The 22,880-nt window shown below is 44.0% G+C and overlaps 2 long non-coding RNA genes across 3 annotated transcripts in view, besides 1 other annotated feature; both read right to left on the bottom strand.

Annotated features, from left to right (window-relative positions):
* Window positions 1-22,880, bottom strand: part of LOC105377043 (uncharacterized) — a 191,504-nt gene that overhangs the window by 20,476 nt on the left and 148,148 nt on the right. The window contains exon 3 of one of the 2 annotated variants that reach the window (XR_940766.3): window positions 19,909-21,003. The exons of the other annotated variant lie outside the window; for it this stretch is intronic. This is a non-coding gene — a long non-coding RNA (uncharacterized LOC105377043). Of the gene's footprint in view, window positions 1-19,908; window positions 21,004-22,880 lie in introns of those variants that run through there. 2 annotated transcript variants of the gene reach the window in all.
* LOC124906230 (uncharacterized) lies at window positions 14,564-19,817 on the bottom strand. Its single transcript, XR_007095887.1, has 3 exons — window positions 19,180-19,817; window positions 18,260-18,339; window positions 14,564-16,394 (listed from the first exon to the last, which is right to left on the bottom strand). It is a non-coding gene; the product is annotated as an uncharacterized LOC124906230 (long non-coding RNA).
* Window positions 18,904-19,584: an enhancer, noted in NCBI's record as "NANOG hESC enhancer chr3:40912794-40913474 (GRCh37/hg19 assembly coordinates)". NCBI's record gives its function as "activates a minimal SCP1, AML or CMV promoter by ChIP-STARR-seq in naive H9 embryonic stem cells {active_cell/tissue: H9 hESC(naive)}" and the evidence as "EXISTENCE:reporter gene assay evidence [ECO:0000049][PMID:30033119]".

Raw genomic sequence — 22,880 nt, 5'->3', positions numbered from 1 at the left:
TACAGGCGCATGCCACTACCGCCCAGCTAATTTTTGTATTTTTAGTAGAGACGGGTTTCACCATGCTGGCCAGGCTGGTCTCAAATTCCTGACCTCAAATGATCCACCCCCCTTGGCTTCTCAAAGTGTTGGGATTATAGACATGAGCCACTGCACCCGGCCTAATTCTGTCTCTTGATTGGAAAGGCAGCAAAGTCATGTTGCAAAGGGGTGTGGATACAAAAAGAGAAAGAGAAATAATAATGGACATTTTTGGCAATCTACACACGAAGCTCAGTGATCATTCTAATGGGATTATAGGGTGATGTGGAGTAGTATTTGAGGTTTTAAGCAGAAACACACAATCAGAGGAGGGAGAGATACCCTTGTGCAGAAATGTAAAATTGAGGTGGGATGAAAAGTTAGCATATATGGCAAATAAAGACATTGTCATTGACCCTACCCTCATCAGGAAAGCATACATGAAAGATTTTCTTAATGGAAGAGAGGGCTTAAGTTGATTCAGACTTCCATTTATTTCTATCTCCTTTTTGAGCATTGATCCAAATTTGGATTTTGCAAGACAGCTGGCTATAATGTGGACTTTCCTAGACAACTTTGGCACAGGGAGAAAGAAATTGATATATTTAGAATTAAAGTCTGCTAAGGTCCTAGAGACTTAGGTTTTGTTTATTTTCTCTTGTTTTAATGACTTTTTGGTTGCTGTTGCTGCACTGTTATATCTATGTGGTGTTGTTAATTTGCAGTTCATTGGTGCCCCGTTGTACCAATGTACACAATAAGATAAATACACTAGAGCAATATTAATAAAGATGAGTAGTTATGGCAGAGTAAGATAATAGTGGCTGCAAACTTAGAAGGAAGGGTGTATGTTTAATTCCATAAGAAATAGTAAGCTATGTATACTTGGCATGAAAAACGTTCAACAGTCAGTATCCATAACTTGGGTACATCACAGCCCTCGGTACCCTCCAGTGTACTTATCCAGCCATGGAACGGCAGGCCCTTGCTTGGCTGGCTCATGGGCACCATCTCTTTAATTTCTTACAGAGAAAACATCTCTAAAGCATGGAGTTCTTTGAGTGAGGCACCTTAAACAGTCAGAAGAGAATGGCCCTGACTGATCTCTGAGTTTGGAATGACATCAACTCTACCCAGATTACTGGGGAAATAGCAGAACTATTTCCTCAGCAGGTTTTAAGGGAATTTGTTTAGACAGATCCAGGAAATACAATTTGATAACTCAGGGTTTATCTCACCTGCCACTGTCAAATTGGAATCTTTCCTAGAGTGAGAAATGCCGTCAAAAATTGCAGTGTGAGTTAAAGTATATAGCTGCATTGGCAGGAATTTCTCATTTCTTATTGGCTGTTAGGGAGCAGACAGCTCTGAAAAAGAGGAGAGGGGGCAGAGGAACCCCCTTTGCAGTCCCTCTTACATTGTCTTTGGGATCTGAATGTAGACTAGGTGATCCTCTTTCTCTAATATAATCTATAAAACCCTTGTTTTTATGTCAGCTCGACCTTTGCTTTTAAGTGTGACCCATAGACAAGCAGCATCAGCATCACATGGAAGCTGGTTAGAAATGCAGATCCTGGACCTCCCCTCACACTTCCTGAATCAGAATCTGCCTTTTAACAAGATGCTCTAGTGATGAGTGGCACATTAAAGTTTGAGAAACTCTGGTCTTGAGAAATCAGTTTATTGGAGTCATTAGAAACAGAGCCTATTTCAGGTAGGGGTTGATGCTTAATATTGCCTATCACTAGCTCCATAACCTTGAACACCTTTCTTTGTCCCAGACATTGTGCCAGGCAGTGGGTTACCTTAGCAAGCAAAAAACAGCCCTTCCCCTCAAGGAGGTTATAATCAGAGAAGCAAATGGGTCTTTGGAAATCAGTTCAATAAGCTTCCCGATAAGAGCAAAAGTCAAATGTTATGGGAACAAAGATAAGAGGTATGCAACCCAGTCTTAAGGGCAGAGATAGCTTCCCAAAAGTGATATTTAAGGCTGAAAGCAGTGGCTTATGTCTGTAATTCCACCATGTTGGAAGGCCGAGGTGGGCAAATCGCTTGAGCCCAGGAGTTTGAGACAAGTCTGGGCAATATGGTGAGACCTCGTCTCTACAAAGAATTAAAAAAAAAAATTAGACAGGTGTAGTGACACATGCCTGTAGTCCCAGCTACCTGAGAGGCTGAGGTGGGAGGATCTCGTGTACCCTGGAGGTTGAGGCTGCAGTGAGCCGTGATTGTGCCACTGCACTCCAGGCTGGGTGACAGAGTGACACCCTATCTCAAAATAAATAAATACATACATACATAAAATTTTAAAAAATCCTTTAAAACAGAAGTGATCTTTGAGCTGAAGCGTGAACAGACAGACAGCCATGGTTTTTCAACTAAGAAATGTGGTAGGGGGTGGCAAGGGAAAGTGGTGCACATTCAGCAGAGCGATTGGAACAGAAGCCACCTTGATTGCGCTGAGAAAAGATGGGAGGTGAGGATGTGGAAAGCGTTTACAGTTCAAGACTTTCTTAATGTTTGGCTCTGAGGAGCAGCTGGAGAGGATTAACATGGGTTGTGGAAAGATTTATTTTTTCAGATGGAAGCGATCTGATTATGTTATAAATACTGATGGGAAAGAACCAATGGGGTGGAGTAGGGGATAACAGAGTGGAGGAGATCCCTGGAAGCTGAGAGAGAAGAGATCCAGAGCACAGCGGGATGGGCCTTGTCTCAGCCCAATAATCACTGGGCTCCTGTATTTTACCAAGGTGGAAGGAGTAGAGGATGGAAATGATGCACGCCTGTTTATAACTTCAGCGGCAGAAAGTCAAAGGACCTCTCTGTAACCTGGCAGTAACTTTCCCTAGAGTGAGCATATACTGTTCAGCTGGGTAGGGGAGTACGTGAAGGAAATGGATAATTTACAGAAGAAAATGGAGAAATCAAGGGCCTGAAGTTCCTGATGAGGCTGAAGAACCAGGAAGAGTAGGAGCCACTGAGTGACACGTTCTCTTTGTTTGTCAAACATGTCAGCTCTGTGCATCTGTGCATGTTAATGTGCCAGTGACCTATTATCAACCCAATGTGCTAGCCCTTGTCCCTTACAAAGGTATTACTATTTTTTTTTACAAGACAAACATTTTATTTCAAAAGAGGCAAACCACAGATATAGTTTGGAATAAACAATTTCTCTGGTCTCAAAATCAAACCAAGCAGACTACTGACCATTATTCCTTTGTATAAGTGCCATTCATCTGGCTGGCACTTCCTGGCACCAAAACCAGCATCTAAGGAGTCTCTATGGGTTCCCATGGTGTCCCTGGGAACATGGTATCCTCTGTTCTGCATCAGCACTGTTTACATGGAAAGGGCTGCAGTAGTACTGGGAGCATCCTAGCAGCATAGCCCAAGTCAAATGCAGGGTCTGGGGAGTGGTTCACACCCCCTGTCCAGGCCTTGAGGGTTCTGTACCATTCCCAGCACCTCCTTAGCATCTGCTCACTTTCTCTCATGGTGTTAACACCTTCTGCATTAAATGTGACAGCTAGCTGACTACAACCTTGCTTTCTGACTAGACTACAAGCTCCCGGGAAAAGGACCACGTCCCTTCCATCGTTGTGGATCCGGTAGTGAGATCACAGGACTTTGCCTGGAATGTGTGCTCCATAAAGATTTGTTGATATAAATAGAATGCTCTGTTCCCAGCTGTTGGCCAGGGACTATGGTTGTCTGACTCCTGAATGGGAATACAACCGTTGCCTGAATATCACTCTCTGCCCTCTTCTCCATTTGATGTAGTCCCCTCAAGTCTTAGAGAATCCACAGAAAGAGTGGCATCCATACTTGTTTATCGGCTTTGCAAAATGAAGGAGTTTTATAGTTATAAGATGGTAACTTGCCATCATTTTTATTGGAAATGGTGACAAGAGAGCAGTGAGGAACTCTCAATGCTGCTCTGGAGCTGTGGGATTTCCTTTGTGATTGATGGTGTAGCCACTTTTCCTGTCACTGTCAACTGTTGCTTGGCCTTTTGCTGCAGGAATTATTGGAGTAGGAGGGTTTAGGAGGGCCATGTCTGAGGTCACTTGGATTTATCAACCTGGATTGCCAGCAGGAAACTGGTCAGTTTCATGATCAAGAGAGATGATTTCCTCCACACAATTACCACACGGCTCCACCCCCACTACTCCTGCTGCACTCGGTGGCTCCCTAAGCACTGATATGGGGTCTGACCAGGCGCACTCAGCCACAAGGGCATGCCATAATGGAATGTGGGCTTATTGGTGACACCAAACTTCCACTTGGAGAAAAGATTGACTATAGAAAATGTAATTACCTTTGAATCCACCAGTTCTGCAAATTTGTGTAAGATCACACAGGACTGGGCTGATTTGCTTTCATGATAGCTATGAAGGACAGGTTTGCTAACAAAACAAATAGATTAAACAAAAATGCAAACGGCATATTCAGACATCTTAAGGGGTCATTTTTCAAGCCCGTTAGCAAGGCTGTATGTAAATCCAGTGAGTTAGAATATTTATTGAAGTGATGCTGTTTAACTTTGTTTTTATAGGTGAGGAATCTTTCTTTTGCTCTTTTTCTCTCTCTCACTCTCTTTTTCTCTCTCTGTCTCTATCATTCTGTCTATCTTATGCACAACTCTAATAGCTGTAGCCAAAGAAAGAGGAACTCTTTGAGGTGGTTGGGTGGGACCTGGCAGGCTTCGATATCCCCTAACCATCTCATTCTTCTTGCACTGCCAGTGTTAGCCCCTTAAGAACCTCCACAGAGACCTGTGATATCAGGGAGGCCAGTTTAAAACCCACCAGTGTGACAGGTAGGGGCTTTATTTGTAGCTGTTTGATAAGCAGTTAGAGGTACCGTGCATGCTTTGTAGAAATAAGACTGCTTCTGAACAAAACATTCTCTAATCATGGCTGTTCATTCACCACAGACTTGGTTCTCATTAAAATAGTTCTTTCAATTAGCCCAAACAATTGTTTGGAGCTCTTCAAATAGAACAGGTATGGAGGAGAGGTGAGCGAAACATAATAACTGGGCTGCAGGTGGTCACACACTTTTGAAGAAGAACAATGGAATGAAGGACAGAGGTTACATGGGGCTGTGTCTGTGTCAGGAAAGGAGGCGGGAAGGGAATAGGGGAACACAGAGTTAAGAGGTGTGAAATGGTTATTCTTAGGAGCTTACGTGATACGCTTTCAAATGTGCTCAGTCAGCCAGGGGTGTGGAGCGATGTTGCCAGGAATGGCAGCTGCCAGCAGGCCTGTGCCATGTGCCTCCTGGAGGTTGATCTAGATGACATGGTCTCAGGGCTGGCAATTGAATCAGCAAGGAAGTAAAACTGCCTTTGCAAAAATTATAACTGAGGAAATTATGACATTGAAAGAGATCAGACCTAACCGACTCCATCTTGCTTCTAACTTTTAAGCTGTCCTTGTTTATTCCTGGGCATAGGCCCATCTAACCTTGAGAAGGAATTCAGTTTATGGTTTGATTCTGAAACAAAATTGATAACAGCCCTTCCCTAAAAGACCCCCTTCTTGCCTGGGGACAAGTCTGCCTTTGTAGGACTAAGAAACTAGCTACAAGATTGGAAATTATCATTTAGGGCTCATACAGCCTCTGGCTGCAAGAGTCTGAACCTCAAATTGCTACTGGGGATAACATCACTATCATAAAATCTAAAATCAGTGCTTGAGATATTTTGCAGACCCTGCACTGGATGGATCAGCCGACACCACCTAGATCAGTAATCTGGCTCAACCAGTTCTGCCAGCCCCTCCAGGAACAGAAGACAGCAAGAAAACCTCAATTCTATCCCCTATAATTCCATCTCCAACTTGACCAATCAGCACTCCCCACTTCCCAAGCCCCTACTCACCAAATTATCTTTAAAAACTCTGATCACTGAATGCTGGGAAGACTTATTAATTAATTAATTTATTTATTTATTTATTTATTTTGAGACTTAGTCTTGCTCTGTTGCCCAGGCTGGAGTACAGTGGCACGATCCTCAGCTCACTGCAACCTCCACCTCCCAGGTTCAAGCAATTCTCCTGGCTCAGCCTCCTGAATGGCTGGGATTACAGGCATGTGCCACCAAGCCTGGCTAATTTTTGTATTTTTAGTAGAGACGGGATTTCACCATGTTGGCCAGGCTGGTCTCAAACTCCTGACCTCAAGTGATCTGCCCGCCTCAGCCTCCCAAAGTGTTGGGATTACAGGGGTGAGCCACGGGATCTGGCCTCAGAGAGACTGATTTGAGTAATAATAAAACTTCAGTTTCCCGCACAGCTGGCTCTGTGTGAATTACTTTTTCTCCATTGCAATTCCCCTGTCTTGATAAATAGGCTCTGCCTGGGCAGCAGGCAAGATGAGCCCGCTGGGTAGCTACAGAAGTGCCTTCAGCCAAGGAGCTATGGCTTGTGCACACCTATGCTTGGATCAGTCACCCAAGCTGGAATGCCAGGCAGCAAAGAAAGAGTCTGGTTGCTCTGATCCTGGTTTAGGGATCATAAAGGCCACTGCAAGGGGAAGCCTGACCAGCATTCGGAAGCACCTAACTGTGGCCAAAGTTGCCAGACCCTCTAAGGGCTGCTGACCCTTGTGTCTCCCTGTGGCCACCATGATTGTCCTCTGATATATTCTGGGATGCTGCTGGTCCAAGTGGTCAAAGATGCTTAAGGGTTTGCACTGTTGAACTAACTCTCTCATTCTGGGTATTTGTGTGTCCTCCCTTTAAGAGTGGGACACATGGCCTATTCCTTCTGTTTCCCCAGGAAACATTGTGTTAGGTGTTTGATGTATGTTTAAGGATGAATAGAAGAGAGGATGAGAAGTAAGTCAAGAGGGCAGGGGGAGGCGTCAAGCTCTGTGATTCTAGACCTTAAGCAATGGCCAGCCTCATGGGCTGCCTTGAGAACCAGCTTGCTGCATGTTTCCCACAGGCCAGCCGTGCCCATCAGTCCCAGGCTTTGTGATCACCCTGCTGCCCTGCACAACCCCATCCCCACCAAAGCAAGGCAGCAGCAAGTGTTCAAGATTCTCTTGCCAGAAAGCTGCAACTCTCACAGCACTTTCTTTCCATTAATTTGGAACCGTATTCTGGAAATTTTCAATGTGCACAAAGGTAGACAGAATAGTATAATGAAATCTCATGTACACATTATGCAAACATCAACATTTTGCTAATCTTGTTTTATCTATATCCCACTTTCTTTGCTGAAATATTTAAAAGAAAATCTCAGTTATTTCATTTCTGTATATTAAATAGATAAACATTCATTTTTAACATACCCATAATATATTATCACTAAGATTATCTAATAAACTATCTTTGTTCAAATTTCCCAGATTATCTCAAAAATTTTTTTATAGTTGGTTTGATTAAATCATGATCCAAATGAATTCCATGCATTGTTTTTTAAAATACATCTCATTTCTTTTAACCTGTGTCTTTTCTCACGTTTTCAATGCCATTTATGTACAAGCATGCCTCACTTTATTGTTCTTTGCTTTATTGTACTTTGCAGATTATTGCACTTGTTACAAATTGAAGGTTTGTAGCAACCCTGAGACGAACAAGTCTATTTGTGTCATTTTTTGAACAGCATATTTTGTGTCATATTTTGGTACTTCTTGCAATATTTTGAACTTTTTCATTATGATATCTGTCATGGTGATCTGCGATCAGTGATCTTCGATGTTACTGTTGATACTATTTTGGGGTGCCATGAACCACACCCATAGAATAGGGTAATCTCAATGTATAAATGTTGTGTGTGTTCTGACAACTCCACTCACCAGCTGTTCCTCCATCTCTCTTCCTTCTTTGGGCCTCTCTACTCCCTGAGACACAATATTGAAATTAGGCCAATTAATAACCCTATGATAGCCACTAAGCATTTAAGTGAAAGGAAGAGTCACATGTCTCCCACTTTAAATCAAAACCTAGAAATAATTAAACTTAGTGAGGAAGGCACATCAAGATAGGCCAAAAGCCAAGACAGGCCAAAAGCTAGGCTTCTTGTGCCAGTTAGCCAAGTTATGAATACAAAGGAAAAGTTCTTGAAGGAAATTAAAAGTGCTACTTCAGTGAATGCATGAATGATAAGAAAGTGAAGCAGCCTTTTTGCTGATATGAAGAAAGTTTTAGTGGTCTGGAAGAAAGATCAAAACAGCCACAACATTCCCATAAGCTGAAACCTAATCCAGAGCAAGCCTAACTCTCTTCAATTCTATGAAGGCTGAGAGAAGTGAGGAAGCTGCAGAAGAAAAACTTGACACTAGCAGAGGTTGGTTCATGAGGTTTAAGAAAATAAATCATCATCACATCATAAGAGTGTAAAGTGAAACAGCAAGTGTTGATGCAAAGCTGCAGCAAGTTATCCAGAAGTGCTAGCTAAGATCATTGATGAAGGTGGCTCCACTGAACAACAGATTTTCAGGGTAAACAAAACAATGTTCTATTGGAAGAAGATGTCATCTAGGGCTTTCATAGCTAGAGAGGAGAAGTTAGTGCCTGGTTTTAAAGTTTCAAAGGACAGACTGACACTCTTGTTAAGAGCTAATGCAGCTAGTGACATGAAGTTGAAGCCAGTACTAATTTACCATTCTGAAAATCCTGGGGCTCTTAAGAATTATGCTAAATCTACTCTGCCTATGCTTTATAAATGGAACAGCAAAACCTGCATGACAGCACATCTATTTATAGCATGGTTTACTGAATATTTGAAGCCCCCTGTTGAGACCTATGAATCAGAAAAAAAGATTTCTTCCAAAATATTACCACTCACTGTCAACGCATCTGGTCACCCAAGAACTCTGATGGAGATGTACAGGAACATGAAGGTTGTTTTCATGCCTGCTAACACAACATCCATTCTGCAGCCCATGGATCAAGGAGTAATTTTGACTTTCAAGTCTTATTACTTAAGAAATATATTTCATAAGGCTATAGCTGCCTTATGATAGTGATTCCTCTAATGAATCTGGACAAAGTAAATTGAAAGTCCTCTGGAAAGCATTCGCCATTCTAGACGTCATTAAGACCATTCATAATTTATAGGAGAAGGTCAAAACATCAACATTAACAGGAGTTTGGAGGAAGTTGATTCCAACGTTTATGAATGACTTTGAGGGTTTCAAGCCTTCAGTGGAGGAAGTAACTACAGATGCAGTCGAAATAGCAAAAAAGAACTAGACTGGGCACGGTGGCTCACGACTGTAATCCTAGCACTTTGGGAGGCTGAGGTGGGAGGATTGCTTAAGCCCAGGAGTTCAAGATGAGCCTGGGCAATATGGTGAGACCCTATCTCTATTTAAAAAAAAAAAAGAAAGAAAAAGAAATAGCAAGAGAACTAGAATTAGAAGTGAAGCCTGAAGATGTGACTGAATTGCTGCAATCTCATGATTCAAGTTGAATGAATGAGGAGTTGCTGCTTATGCATGAGCCAAGAAAGTGGTTTCTTGGGATAAAATCTGCTTATGGTGGCTGGGTGTAGTGACTCACGCGCCAGTAGTCCCAGCACTTTGGAAGGCCTAGGTGGATGGATCAAGAGGTCAGGAGTTCAAGACCTGGCCTGGCCAATATGGTAAAACCCTGTCTCCACTAAAAATACAAAAATTAGCTGGGCATGGTGGCATATGCCTGTAATCCCAGCTACTTGGGAGGCTGAGGCAGGAGAATTGCTGGAACCCAGGAGGTGGAGGTTGCAGTGAGCCAAGATGGCGCCATTGCACTCCAGCCTGGGCAACAGAGCAAGACTCCATTTCAAAAAAAAAAAAGAATCTGCTTATGGTGAAGATGCTGTGAACATTGTTGCAATGACAACAGGGATTCAGAATGTTTAGAATTGAGAATATTACATAAACTTAGTTGATGACGAACTGGCAGGAGTTGATAGGATTGATTCCAATTTTGAAAGAAGTTCTACTGTAGGTAAAATGTTATCAAACAGCATCACATGCTACAGATAAATCTGTTGTGAAAGGAAGAGTCAACTGATGCAGCAAACTCCCTTGCTGTCTGATTTTAAGAAATAGCCATAGCTACCCCAGCTTTCAGCAACCACCACCCTGATCAGTCAGTAGCCATCAACGCTGAGGCAAGACCCTTCACCAGCGAAAAGATTATGACTCACTGAAGTCTCAAGACAATCATGAGCACTTTTTCTCTTTTTTAGCAATAAAGCATTTTAAAATTAATGTACGTACTTTTTATTTTTATTTTATTTATTTATTTATTTTGAGATGAAGTCTTACTCTGTCACCCAGACTGGAGTGCAGTGGTACGATCTCGGCTCACTGCAACCTCCGCCTCCCAGGTTCAAGCCATTCTCCTGCCTCAGCCTCCCAAGTAGCTGGGACAACAGGTGTGCACCACCATGTTCCGCCAATTTTTTGTATTTTTAGTAGAGATGGGGTTTCACCATGTTGGCCAGGCTTATCTCAAACTGCTGACCTCAGGGGATCCACCTGCCTCGGCCTCCCAAAGTGTTGGGATTACAGGCGTGAGCCACCACGCCTAGCCCAGTATGTACTTTTTAGACATTGCTTTTGCATACCTAATAGACTGTAATATATTGGAAACATAACTTTTGTATACCCTTGGAAACAAAAAATTTTGTGTGGCTGGCTTTATTGCAATATTTGCTTTATTGCAAGGGTGTGGAACTGACCCCACAGCATCTCTGAGGTATGCCTGTATTGAAGGAGTCAGGTTCTCTGTCCCATAGAATTCCTCATATTCTGGTTTTGGCTTCTTTCTTCCTTATAATGTTGGTTAGCGTGTTCCTCTATCTCTTGAATTTCCTGTAAACTGGTAGTTAGATCTAGATGTATGATTAAATCCAGGCTTAATTATTTCTGGAAAGAACACTGCTTAGGGAATGTTGTGTTCTTGCTAATTTGAGGAGACACCTAATACTCACAGCATCTTCTTAGCTCACGTTAAATGCATACTTACTAAATGCATGCTGTTGTTTTTCTTAAATTTAACATACTTTTCTTGAATTACAATCTGGCCCCACTTGTAGCTTCTTACTATTGACTTTATGTTTTATCCCAAAACTGTCATGAACCACAGGGTACTCCAAGCAGCTGACACCTCTTGGAGATCAGCAGGTACAACACAGGAGGTTATTCCTGAAGTTCCATTTATTGTCCCTAATTATCATTATACCCAGTTGTTGATTTTTAACCTCTCAAGTACAGATGAAGTTTTGCCTGGGATAAAATAGTCCATGGTATTGGCCAGGTACTGTGTTCCATGCTAGTCCTCAGACCTCCGAGGAATCAGGCATGTTTTTACAAAGCAAAGCAATCACTTTCACAGGTCTGAGTTACTGATACTGATAAACCATTTGTAAGTTTGCATGTATTATTTAACAGAAACTCCCACGTGCATCTAAGCAAGTTTGCATAAATTGATTAAAGAATAATTCTCAGCTGCAATAATATTAATTATTGTCCTGGAGCCCCCAATGATAGTTTTAGGAATTCAATCTGAAATGCCCTCCATGCTACCAGGACTTTCATTGGTGAAATTTAGGCAGTTGCTTGAGGGCTGTGGCATCTCAAAGCAACTACAGAGAACAAGGTCATTGTGAGATTAGCCCCAGGTTCTGCTTGCCTTCTTTCTTCCTTTCTACCCAGGAGCCAGGGAGGTAATTGTCATTGGCTAGGGAAAGTTAACCCAACTACTCAAATTAAATGGATGCAATTCTCACAATCAAGGGCTTAAAATAGACATGTAGTCTCAATTGTTCTATTGTGGAGACCTGTCTTGAGAAAACATGATCCATTCACAGAGGAGGATGGGATGGCCTCTTCTAGGTCCAATTTTGAATTTCATGAAGATTCCCTTGGGAACCTGGAGCCACTAAGGAAATGGAACTATCAGGTCCTGGAAGTGAATGTTTGCCAGTCACACTGAAGTTAGAACATCTTTGTAGAAAAAATTGGTGTGATTTACTTTACTCATAGAGTCATACTTGATTTGAACCCTGGGCTTTGCTTTGGTTGAACATGCTATTATGGCTGCATAGGCAGGGGTCAACCAAGAGCAAATTTCTGGAGGAGGGCCACATTGCCACAATCAGCTGATTAAAACTCAAGTGGGTTTTCAAAGCCTCGCTCCAGGTCAGGTTATCTTTGCATCTGTTTTTCCACTACCATTAGAGGAATAACAGCAGCCTACTTTGGAGAAAAAAAAAATGATCGGAAAAACATAGTGAGAGCATTTACCAACACAGTATTCATATTTCTCTGAGCCCTGGGGCTCTGGACCACCACAGAGAAAAGTTTTGTTTAACCTTTCCATGATGGGAAAACACTCATCCCTAATGCCAGCTCTCCACCTTCCAGCCGAGTCAAACTGCAGTAGTGGGAAATTGCTAGGGAAGCCGGCTTTGCAACAGTGAACAAATGTCTTTGTGAGAGAAGAAGGCTGCTCTGAGCAGTGGCTAATGGGGCTGCTTAGTGGAATTTTTTTCCCTTTTTAACCAAACTGAGCCTTGCTCCTTTCTGGCAGGCAGACAGGCCCACTCTTCCAAGTACGCAGGAAAGTTCTGTTTTGACAAGCGCACACATTCTTTTTCAGAAAGCCACAGAGGCAAACGCCTTTGTTGCAGACAGACCAACTCCCTTCCAGCCCAGGAGGTGAAAACTCTTTCATGAGCCACATAATGGGAGCAGCAGTTGTGCTTGCTTATACAGTTCCCGAAAAGTACATAACTTCCATTATGTAGCTTCCACATACGGAATGTACTTCCTCTCGCAAACCCAAACGCTAGCAGGGCTGTTTGTCCGGCACTGGGCCTGGCAAGGAGCAGGAGGTTGGCAGGACTCATGAGGCATTTTTCTGTTGGGCTTTGGTTTCCTGGCCAGTTGAACTCAGTCCAATTATTGTCCCAAAGTTCTGCCAGATAAAACAAGGAGAGAGCTTTTCTAGATGCCTGGCCTTGGGACTAGGAGATGGGGGAGGGAAGGTGCAAGCTGAATGGGGGTGGGGTGGGGCACACCCAAGGCCAGGGCTCAGGAGTCCCCTTTCCAAGCAAGGGCTCTGACTCCGCCCTGTAGAATGTGCAGCAGCCTCCAGAGACCTTGCCCTTCGGGTGAATGCCTGGCACTCAGGCCATTCTCCCTCTGGCATGGGGCCTGATCTTAGCATCATTTGTGATGGAAAGTCAAATTTCCTGGAACATAGGGTTAGCTTTTCAGCAGACTAATCCCATTTGCAATATACTATACAGTATTCCGAGCAGAATTGGCCCTATCCAGCAGCAGTTTAGAAGGCTGCTTCCTTGAGATGGTATCAATAACAGTGCAAGATACTGCCCACTTCCAAAGTGTCTCCCTTTACTGCCCTTCCATTGCACTTGAACTTCCTACTGTTGGAACCAGTATTTAAGAGTCACTAAAGCAATGTCTTCAGAAAATTCTATTTAAGTGCATGTATTAAATTCATAATTATGCCCACATTAAGATGCATAAATACATGTGAGCAAATTACAAAATATATGTAGGCTTAACCCCTATGGGTCTAGTGGTTACTCCCCATCCCTCCTTCTTAAGGAATGGTTGCATCTTTTCGACAGAAGAGGCTGAGGATAAATGTCTGCTCTGGAATCTCCTCACATTGCCCTGGTTCCATCTTTATCTTACTTCCTTCAACAGTCCATGAAGGGGCTTTTCCCAAATCAGTATAAACAAACTCACATTGGATTGATCATTTTCTTGTGTCTGAGCTGGGTTGCTAAATACAGAAGTTGTTCAATGTCCAGTATTTAAAATATGGAGACTTTCTGTCTTGATTACAGTTCAGTAACTCTATTTCTGTTGCTCTGTTATTTTGGTACCTAAGTGTGATTGCATAAATCTGTGAAATGTTGGAAATTCAAGTGGAGCTCATTTTTTCTGAGATATAAGTGCACTCTGGTTTTGCTTTTTGAAAAATGTCTTTGAAGTTTCCCTATACAAAGTGCCTGTGTTCAGCCCTGCAGAGGTGGCGGCAGGGCGGAGGGGCTTGAGCCTCCCTGATGACAAGCAGGACAAGGAATATCATCCAGGCTGTCAGTTGCCAACAGGATTCTGATCACTCAAGGCCCTTGCCCCTGTGGTCACTTTAGGTCTTCCACTATTGAATGTCCCTCTGGTTCTAGCAATTTTTCTCTGACCACAAATTGTGGCTTTGCTAATGTTTGATGTTTACTTAATTCCATGAAGTCTAGGTCACACATATTGTCTTGTTGCCTCCCAGTTTTCTCATACCTAACCTGAAGAGTAATGGAGACCCAGGACATGGGATCAGTGCAGGGAGGAAGGCCTGGGATTCTAAGCCACTTCTATTTCTATATAAATGTGTAGAATAGGAAGTTAAAAAAAACTCATTCAGACTGGGTAACGCAGGCAGACATCACTAAAGAAGTAGCACTGAGGCTGAGGCCTGAATGAAGAGAAAGAGGCAGCCCCATGAGGAGCGGGAGAAAGAGCCTACAGGTAAAGGGAAGAGCAAAAGCGAAGGTCCTAACTTAGAAACGAGCTGGAGGCATCATACAACCAAGGCCTGGTCACTGTGTCTGCAGCTGCAAGAAAGGGGGAGAATGGCATGCATGGGACAAAGACGCTCAGAGTAAAGTGTTTGAAACTATTGGGAAAGAATCCAGAAAGCCTTGGAGGGTTTTAAACAGGGAGAATGATGCAATCCAAACTATATATTTAAAATTCCCCTCTGGCAGCCGTACAGGAAGACAAGTAAGGACCACTGCCTAAATCAAGACAAGAGACAATGGTGGGAAAGATGCTGAGAGCCCCAGGCAGATCTCAGAGACATTTTGGAAGTTTAATTGACAGGATTTGGTAATGGGCTGGATATGACCCCAGGATCCCAGGCTCTGCCTGGTCCCAGTCCACTGTCTTTACCTGAACTTTATCACCTCTTAAGGATCCTCCAGGAGCCCATAGAAGCTGAGCCAGGCATTGGCACCCAGCTCGTGAATTAATCCAGACCACTTAGCACTTGTGCACACCTGCTGTTCCTGAGTCTCAGCTTTACTGAGGCCTTGAAACCTCTCTTTCTTCCTCTATTCCCCTGGTTACCATTGTGTTCCTAGAGCTTCCATATGTCAGGCTTCACTCTGACACCTGCTCCAGGGTGATCCACAATGTGGCTCTTGCTATTCACCCTTATGGCTTTATTCTGTGGGTACAATGCATCCCCCACCCTGTCCCAGCACCTACAGGCCTAACTGGCTGGGTCTGCCCCTCACCAACCCCTTTTCCCCAATCATGTGTGGTCCTGAGATGCTGCCCAGCTTTCTAAGAATGCCTCTTTTATTGGGATATTATACTTCTAGCCATTGACTAGGGCTGCTTCTACCTGGCTATGCCTCTTAGATCCATGTCTCACTGGCCTCCTGTTTCTAAGAGTCTACCCTTCTTGAGAACTCTTGCTTGTCTCATGGCCTAGATGAGATCCTATCTGCCTGTTCCTCTTCTATGGCACCACTAACTAGAACCAAAATGAAGCTGCTATGTCCCTTTGGACTGTTGGCTTCTTCTGTCTTGGGTGGCAGACAGAGCTAATGGCAGGGAGGCCACTAGCTGGCCCTGTCTTGGCCAGACCAAAGTTCTTCCTATGTGGTGAGATCCTGGCCTGTCACTTTGCTACACCCACCCAAGTCACAACCATGAGAGCACTATGCAATGAATATGCCTAGGTAAATATGCCTATACAGGCTGATTCTTGTGCATAAACATGTATATATGTAGGTATATGTTTATTAATAGAAGTCTACAATGACACAACTTCTTATAATTATTTTAGTTCATCTAAGGCCATATATGTAAGGATTAAAATTCAGATATGTAGACAGACCCTGATTATTGGGTATGGTCATGAACTGCTCACAAAATGACACCTCCCTGAATAGGTCTCACTCTAATCTTGCTTTTATCTTCCTGCACAGAATTATTCAGGTAGGCCTTCCTTTAAAAAAAAAGAAAATAAGACAAGATCATTGCAGAAAAGCATACCCAACTCCCATAGTTTACCACCTCTTCAAAGCTGATTCTTTCCTTGGTTCATCTTTTTCTTATGATTCATAATTCCTTACTTTTTATATCAGTCACCTATGGTCATAATAGTGCTGCATGAGGTACAATCTCAAAATATAGTGGCTTAGGATAATAAACATCCATTCACTTTACTGTTCTGTGTGTTGGTATTTTAGGCAGAGGTGGCTGAGCAGTCCTGGTCTCAGAATTCTCTCACGTTCCTGGTAATTGACTATTGGTTGATCTTGGCTGAGATGACTCTGGTGACTTGCCGGTTCCCACGTTGTGTGTCCCATCCTCCAGGAGCCAGACTGGGCATGTTGTCATGGTGATGACAGAAGGCAAGAACAGAAACGTAAATGGAAACATGCAAGTACTCTTTCGAGCATTTGTTTGTGTCACATCTACTAACCTCCCATTGGATAAAGCAAGTCACATGGCTTTTAATGAAAGAGTTAAAGCTTTAACAACACCTCTGGAGGCTTCCATAGTCAAGAATTTTGAGGTTTAGTTGAGTAAAATGGCAGAGTCAAAAGAATAAACCATCAGATGGAATGTCTTAGGAAGACTGCAGTAACAAGAAATTTTAAGAGCTTCAAGCCAGGAAGATCTTAGCTTGAAGAAATCCTCACCCCACCATTTTATAAATAAATAAATAAATAAATAAATAAATAAATAAATAAATAAATAAAAAAAAATAAAGCCCAGAGGGGTTCAAGTGCATTTTCAAAGGGAGAGAGATGGAGCTAGAACAAGAATCCAAGTCTTTTGCTCAGCCCAGTGTTCCTTCTGTTGCCTGAAGTTTCTCTGGCCATTGGCCACTCGGCTCCTCTATAATGTTCACCTCTAACCTTTGTTTTCATTTTCCTATCATCCAACTGCGTGATAATAAATTGGTCTCAGTACTCTGTTTTCTTAATTCCTAGTAGAAGCTGAAGGCATTGCTTTTCTCCTGGGAACACTGTTTGGTGCTGACTGATTGGAGGTGCCTCCCCTGGGTTTGCAGAGGGAGCAAGGTTTTAGTTCCTGGAAAATTTAATACACAATTTGATCTTTGCTACTCTACTGAACTTCTCCTAAGCTTGCCTTTCCTTATCTCCTTGCTCTCCCAGCTGCCAGGTAATTTGATCTGGATCTGTCTTATCAGTCCTAGGCCAGCAAGCAGGTGATGAATGAGGGGCTGGGGAAGCAGCTGTCTCTTCTTTGAGGCCACCGGCATTTTTGGAAGAGACTCTATGCGTGGCAGTTGCTGGAAATGGAGGTGAAACTCATTCCCACACTCCTTAGTCTAAGGCCTGTACTGTTTGTTTTTTGTTTTTTGTCTTTGCCTCCTCCAACTCACTTAGAGGTGAATCTTTCTTCTTCAGAGTTCTTGGCATTCCTGGGGCTTTACAGTGGTCTGGTCATTGAGGCTCCCTACCAGAGGACAGAATTTCCCTGGCTTAACCCTGGTTGATCTTAAAATAATCACTCACACTTATAAATCATATTCAGAGTCTTGAATTGAACTAGAGTGTAAAATAGTGCTGCAGATGGATTATTCATCCTTCTGAAAGAGAAGCCTTAATGGTACAATGGTGGTGCTGCCCCAAGTAACCTGGATAGGTCTTATGCTTCAGATGTGAGATTAAAGGATCAAGGGGAAGCTGTTGAGTCATGGCATCTGACCCACTTAAACCTGTTAGACTCTCTTCAAGAATCTAATATGTCCTTTGAGAGGAATCACCTCTGAGTTGTATCTCTTCTGCATGGCTACAGGGAGAAAGCCTGCTATATCTACTGGAATAAAAAAGGAAGCAGAGAAAATGGAATCTAGACAAATGGATATCCGGATCCAGCTGGACAAAGCCCTGTGATGTTAAAGCCACCAGTCTGACTCTGTAGGACACTGTCGCTACCACATCCCAAAAGGAAATGTACCCAGCCTGCCTACTTGCCACTCAGCATCCCTCCCAGGGGAAAGAGCTATGCCTTAGGGGTGTGATGTCACAAACAAGTCAACCATCGTTTAGAGGCATCATTTCAAGGTTCCCCCTCTCTGCTTCTCAGCTTACTTTCCCTCTGCTGCTGTCACCTGGCTGTCAGCATCCAAATTAGCACAGAGCCCCAACCCAAGCAAGCATCAACTGGATTGTCAGCCCAGTGAATGACCCACCCTGGGGACCTGCTGTTATACCCTGCCTCAGCTGTCACCTTCCTGTGGCCTTCCTCTTTCCCCGGGCATGCAGAGCCATGAAAACAGCAGTAAGCTTCTCCCTGAGAAAGAAAAAGCTGCGTGTAAGGTCAGGTAAACACAGGGCCAGAGAAAGCTCTCCCTTCCCCCATCCCACAGACACATCTTATCCTCGCCCCAAGCTAAGGACCTCTAAATCCAGCCACAGTAGCAATGCTGGGATGGCAGGAAAATGTTCAGCCTGGAAACCACAACCTCTGCAGCACAGCAGCCAGCACCAGTGAAGGACATGGAGTTAAATCGAAAAGGAATTTGAATGACAAAGTGACATTATGTCTATCTCCCTAATGATGGGACAAGTTGGTCTTCTGTCATTGGCAAGGCAAAACTGCCAGGACCAGATGTGTATTTAAAAGCTATTTCTCATGGTTTTAAGTCACCAGGTCAGCTCGATACCTAAAACAAAGAGAATGAATTATGGAACAGGACGAGGGGAGCTTGTTAATTTTCCTACTGATGCACTGTGAAATGAAAGCTTTATTCTAAGAATGGTATATCCTCAGGGCTCTCTCTGGAGAGACAAATTCAAATGTCCTTACTGTTTTCTTTGTCCCTTACTTTATGGCTTTTTCTGTACACATTTACGAAGTATATATATTTCATGGTATGTCTGTGTCTATAGGACTCAGGGAGTTCAAGTCTGTGATTCTCTTTAGGGCTTCCTTGACAATAAGGAGTGCTTAGGTGATGTTATTGATGAATACACACACACACACACAATTAGAATTTGTGGCCAGCCTGTCTGTATATATTATAGAGACATCCATGCAGGCTGCTTGCTATTGTCTGCACTAGTGAGCTATAGCCCATCTCCAATTGGAACCCAATGAAATAATCATAACAATTTTGCCTTCATGTATCACCTTTCATCAGGGAGGATGAAAGGACTTCACAAACTCTGGGTTCTTCTTTGATCTAGGCGCCTATCTGGTACACCGATCTCCATTGTGTATTCTGCCCTCACCCTGCCGATGGGCCTCCCATTGACAGTAATTGAACTTCCATATGCAGAGCAGCCAAAAGGCCGGCCTGGCCAGAGAGACTTCTGTCAGCTGCCAGGAGGGAGAGGGCTGCTTCCAGAAGGGACTTGGGTTGCTGTTCTGCATCTGCAACAGGGGGCAGGGATTATAAATGTGGGGAAAGAGGCAAGTAATTCTTAAGCTGCAACTTCAGTTTGAGAGAGGGGTGCTTAATAGGAGATGGAGGAACATTCTAGGTAACATGATAAAATAAATCTCCAGAATGTGGGTGTTGCCTAAGGCTCTGCTCTTCACTGTCTTCTCTTCCATATCGACTTTAGCTATTAGCTTTATGGGAAGGACTCCGAAATATGTATCCCAGGCTCAAACTCTCTTGGGTCTAGCCAGGCATCTCTAGCTGTCTCCTGGGCATTTCCATCCACATATTTCACTGGAACATCAATCACAGCTTCTACCAAATATTATATATGATTCTTCCTCCTCCTTCACTCTCAAATAGCTCCCTTCCCTGACCTTCCTACTTGTAGTCACTGATGTTACAGCCACAAGTAATTTAGCCAATATCTGTGTTCTCGTGGAGCTTGCATTTTAGAGAGGGGTGAGAGAATCCAATAAACAAGCAATAAATGAAGAAGAGAAATAGCAGGAAATGATAGTTTAGGTGGTGATGGGTTAGGGGTGTGGACCTCTTTGGACTGAGTGACCAACATTGGCTTCTCCAGGGAGGAAACTATTCCAGGTGCAGGGAACAGCAAGCACCAAAGCCCTGAGAGAGCCAAGGCCCCAAACAGAAAAGATGCTGAGCTGCTGGAGCATGATAACAGGAGAGTGGGAGGAGATGAGGTTAGAGAGGTGGCCAGTGATTAGATGAGGTGAGGCTTTGGTGATGGGATGCAGAGTTTGGAATCTAAGCCAAGTGCTGTCCAAAGCCAGGGAGGGTTTCCAGCAGCGGCTTGTGGGAGCTGATGTCCATTAGTAGCACCTCTCAGCTGAGACTTTGAGTCACTTTGACTCTTCTCTGTATCACACACCTCTCTCCATACAGGCAGTGTCTAATGTGGAATGAGAGAAAGGTTTTGGTAACCCTCCAACTCCCTTTGCTTCTCCCCTCCAGGGTCCCGGACAGAGTTTTCTGTGTTCAAAAGAACTAGAAGCCAAACAGAAAATAAAGCATCCTTTTTGTGATCGCTGGGAAAGGACAACATACCCTTCAGGCTGTAAATGTGGCTTAGGCTAGCAGACTAAAGCTTAGTTTCCCAATTTTTCTGAGAATATAGATCTTGGGACCCACCTGCTCAGGCATGCTTGCTGTTGGAGGGGGTGAGAATGGGTGGTCTCATGGAGAGTGGTTGCTACACCCATCTCCCAGCTGCTGAGAGTGTTGTCTGCTAAGGAAATCACAGCTGCCCTCCTCAGAGAATCGCCATTGGGAGGTTCCCCACCTTCCCACCAGGGGCAGCATGTAATCCATGACTGGCATAGGGTACAAAAGGCAGGCCCCTTACCTCTAGGTGAGACAATTCTGTGGTACAGTTCATACTCCAGAGCTCCCGTGGGAACAGGTCCAAGAAGTGTCCAGCTGAGACCCCAACCTTGCTCAGTCCTCTGCTGCACCTGGCTTACCTTCCCCCCTTCTCCTGAGAGCATTTTCTCAAGAGACATGTGCACTTCATCATCTTATCAGGATCTGCTTCTACGGAATGCAACCTAAGACAAGTGGAGATAGAGCCAGGCCTTTTAAGGAGCCCTGACAAATCTCTACAAAATTTCCATTCACTTCTCCCTTTTAAATTCATTCATTTATTCAACAAATACATTGAAACATGTTTTGTACACTCTGGCACACAAGAAATCAGGTAGGCACAGCCCATTCCCTCATAGAGCTTACAAACCAGGAAGAAAGGCAGACATCAAACTGGTAAATGCATTCATTTGGGTGCATCATGTTGAGAGTAGTCTTCGTCATTGTAATGGGACTGTTTGCCTCCAAGTCCCTATTTCTAAGACGATGAAGGAACAGGAGTAAGCCCGGACACCAGAGCCTTTCTTCTGCTTTGCGAGCTGCTGATATGTAGCTGGGATCTCTTTGTGTCCCCGCTGGGCTGACACTCACCAGTGAGCCAAGAAGGGAGGGGTGGTTAAAGGCGTGAGGACCCCGAAGGGGACCCCTTGAAAGTGCTCACTCTTCCTTCTACTAATTATTTTGTTTTTTTAAAAGCTTGCCCTGTTTAGTCTCTCAGGAGGTTTTCCTGCCCACGGGGGGTATGGCTGCCTCCCAGGAGAATCTGGCCAGGATTTACACCACCCAGCCCACAAAATCCTGAACAGCTCAGGACCAGCCCATGCTATTGTGAGCTGAGAGTCACTCTTCAGTTCTCATGATTGCAGGTAAATAAATGTTCCAGCCGTCCCGAGCTCTCACATGAAGACTACCTGCCAAGGAATTTTTTCCTCTGGGACCCATGGCCACATTGCTGGGCTGAGACTTTCTTGCATTCATAGAATTCCCCTGTTACAACGGCCACTAGTCAGCTCCCATTGCCTTAGTTTCCTGCTTGAAGGAGGTAGAAGAGAACTGCTGGCTGATGCTTGTTTAATTCACTGTGAAGGGTGCAGTTTAAGGAAGATCTCCCTCAAAGGCAGCCACATTCCGGACTCCTCTATAAGTGCTTACTAATGGAAGAGATAATTTGGGGTCAGGGCCAGCTTCGTGGGCCCCTGACCTGTGCAGTTTACATAGGACTCCACACTTAGAAGGGCCCTACTCTTGGTTTAATGTTCTGTTATTGCTGTCTTAAAATTCTTAATAATTTCTAAACAAGGGTCCCTACCTTTTCATCTTACCTTAGGCCCCACAGATTATGTAGCTAGTCTGGTTTGGGATCATGCATCAAGACTTGTTCCAGGTTGCCTGCCAAGAGGCAGAGAGAAAGGTAAAACTTCCCTTGGATCTCTTTCACCCCAGGATGCTGGTGAATTCTAAAGGCACAGGGGCAGATTTCTGCAGTTGAACAGTGTCTCTGGGGAGAGTATATTCACAATACAGAACCATCAGTCTGTACAGAGCCCAACGTGGTGGACAGTTGCTGACTGTCAGGGGTAGCTGCAGAGGGAGAATGGAGATGTAGGAGCAGGAAAAATCTGCTTGATTGTGAATAGAACTAGATCTGTTTTTTCTTGGTATGGCAGGTGTTTGGAGCTGATCATTTTTCTTAGGGAGCATCTGGGGGCTCCTTGAAGGTCTCCTGTTGGCCCTTCACTGGGTGTTCCCTTCATCCTAACAGATGCTTCTCGCTTCCAGGAGTCAGTTGAGGGCTCTTCCACAGCCCCTAGAGATCCAGCATCTCCCCTCAGCTCCTGGGGCCCCTGTTGAGATGAACCCAAGCAAATCCCACTCTGTTCCTCTCTCCTGCAGGGCCCACCTCCACCCAGCCCCACCCCCTCAACCTTGAAACCATGGCCATTTTATCTCTGTCAGTTGCACAGTAAGACACTGATCTTTCCTCCCACACTTTCAAATGCAGGCAATGCGTTTCACAGTTTTCTGAGTGATCCCGTGGAAGCCTCCTTGCTAAATCTGAGGC

This window comes from Homo sapiens, chromosome 3 (assembly GCF_000001405.40).
Source record: "Homo sapiens chromosome 3, GRCh38.p14 Primary Assembly".
Taxonomy (NCBI): Eukaryota; Metazoa; Chordata; class Mammalia; order Primates; family Hominidae; genus Homo; species Homo sapiens.
The sequence above is the reverse complement of the archived record's forward strand: the minus strand, read 5'-3'. Positions and strand labels throughout refer to the sequence as shown.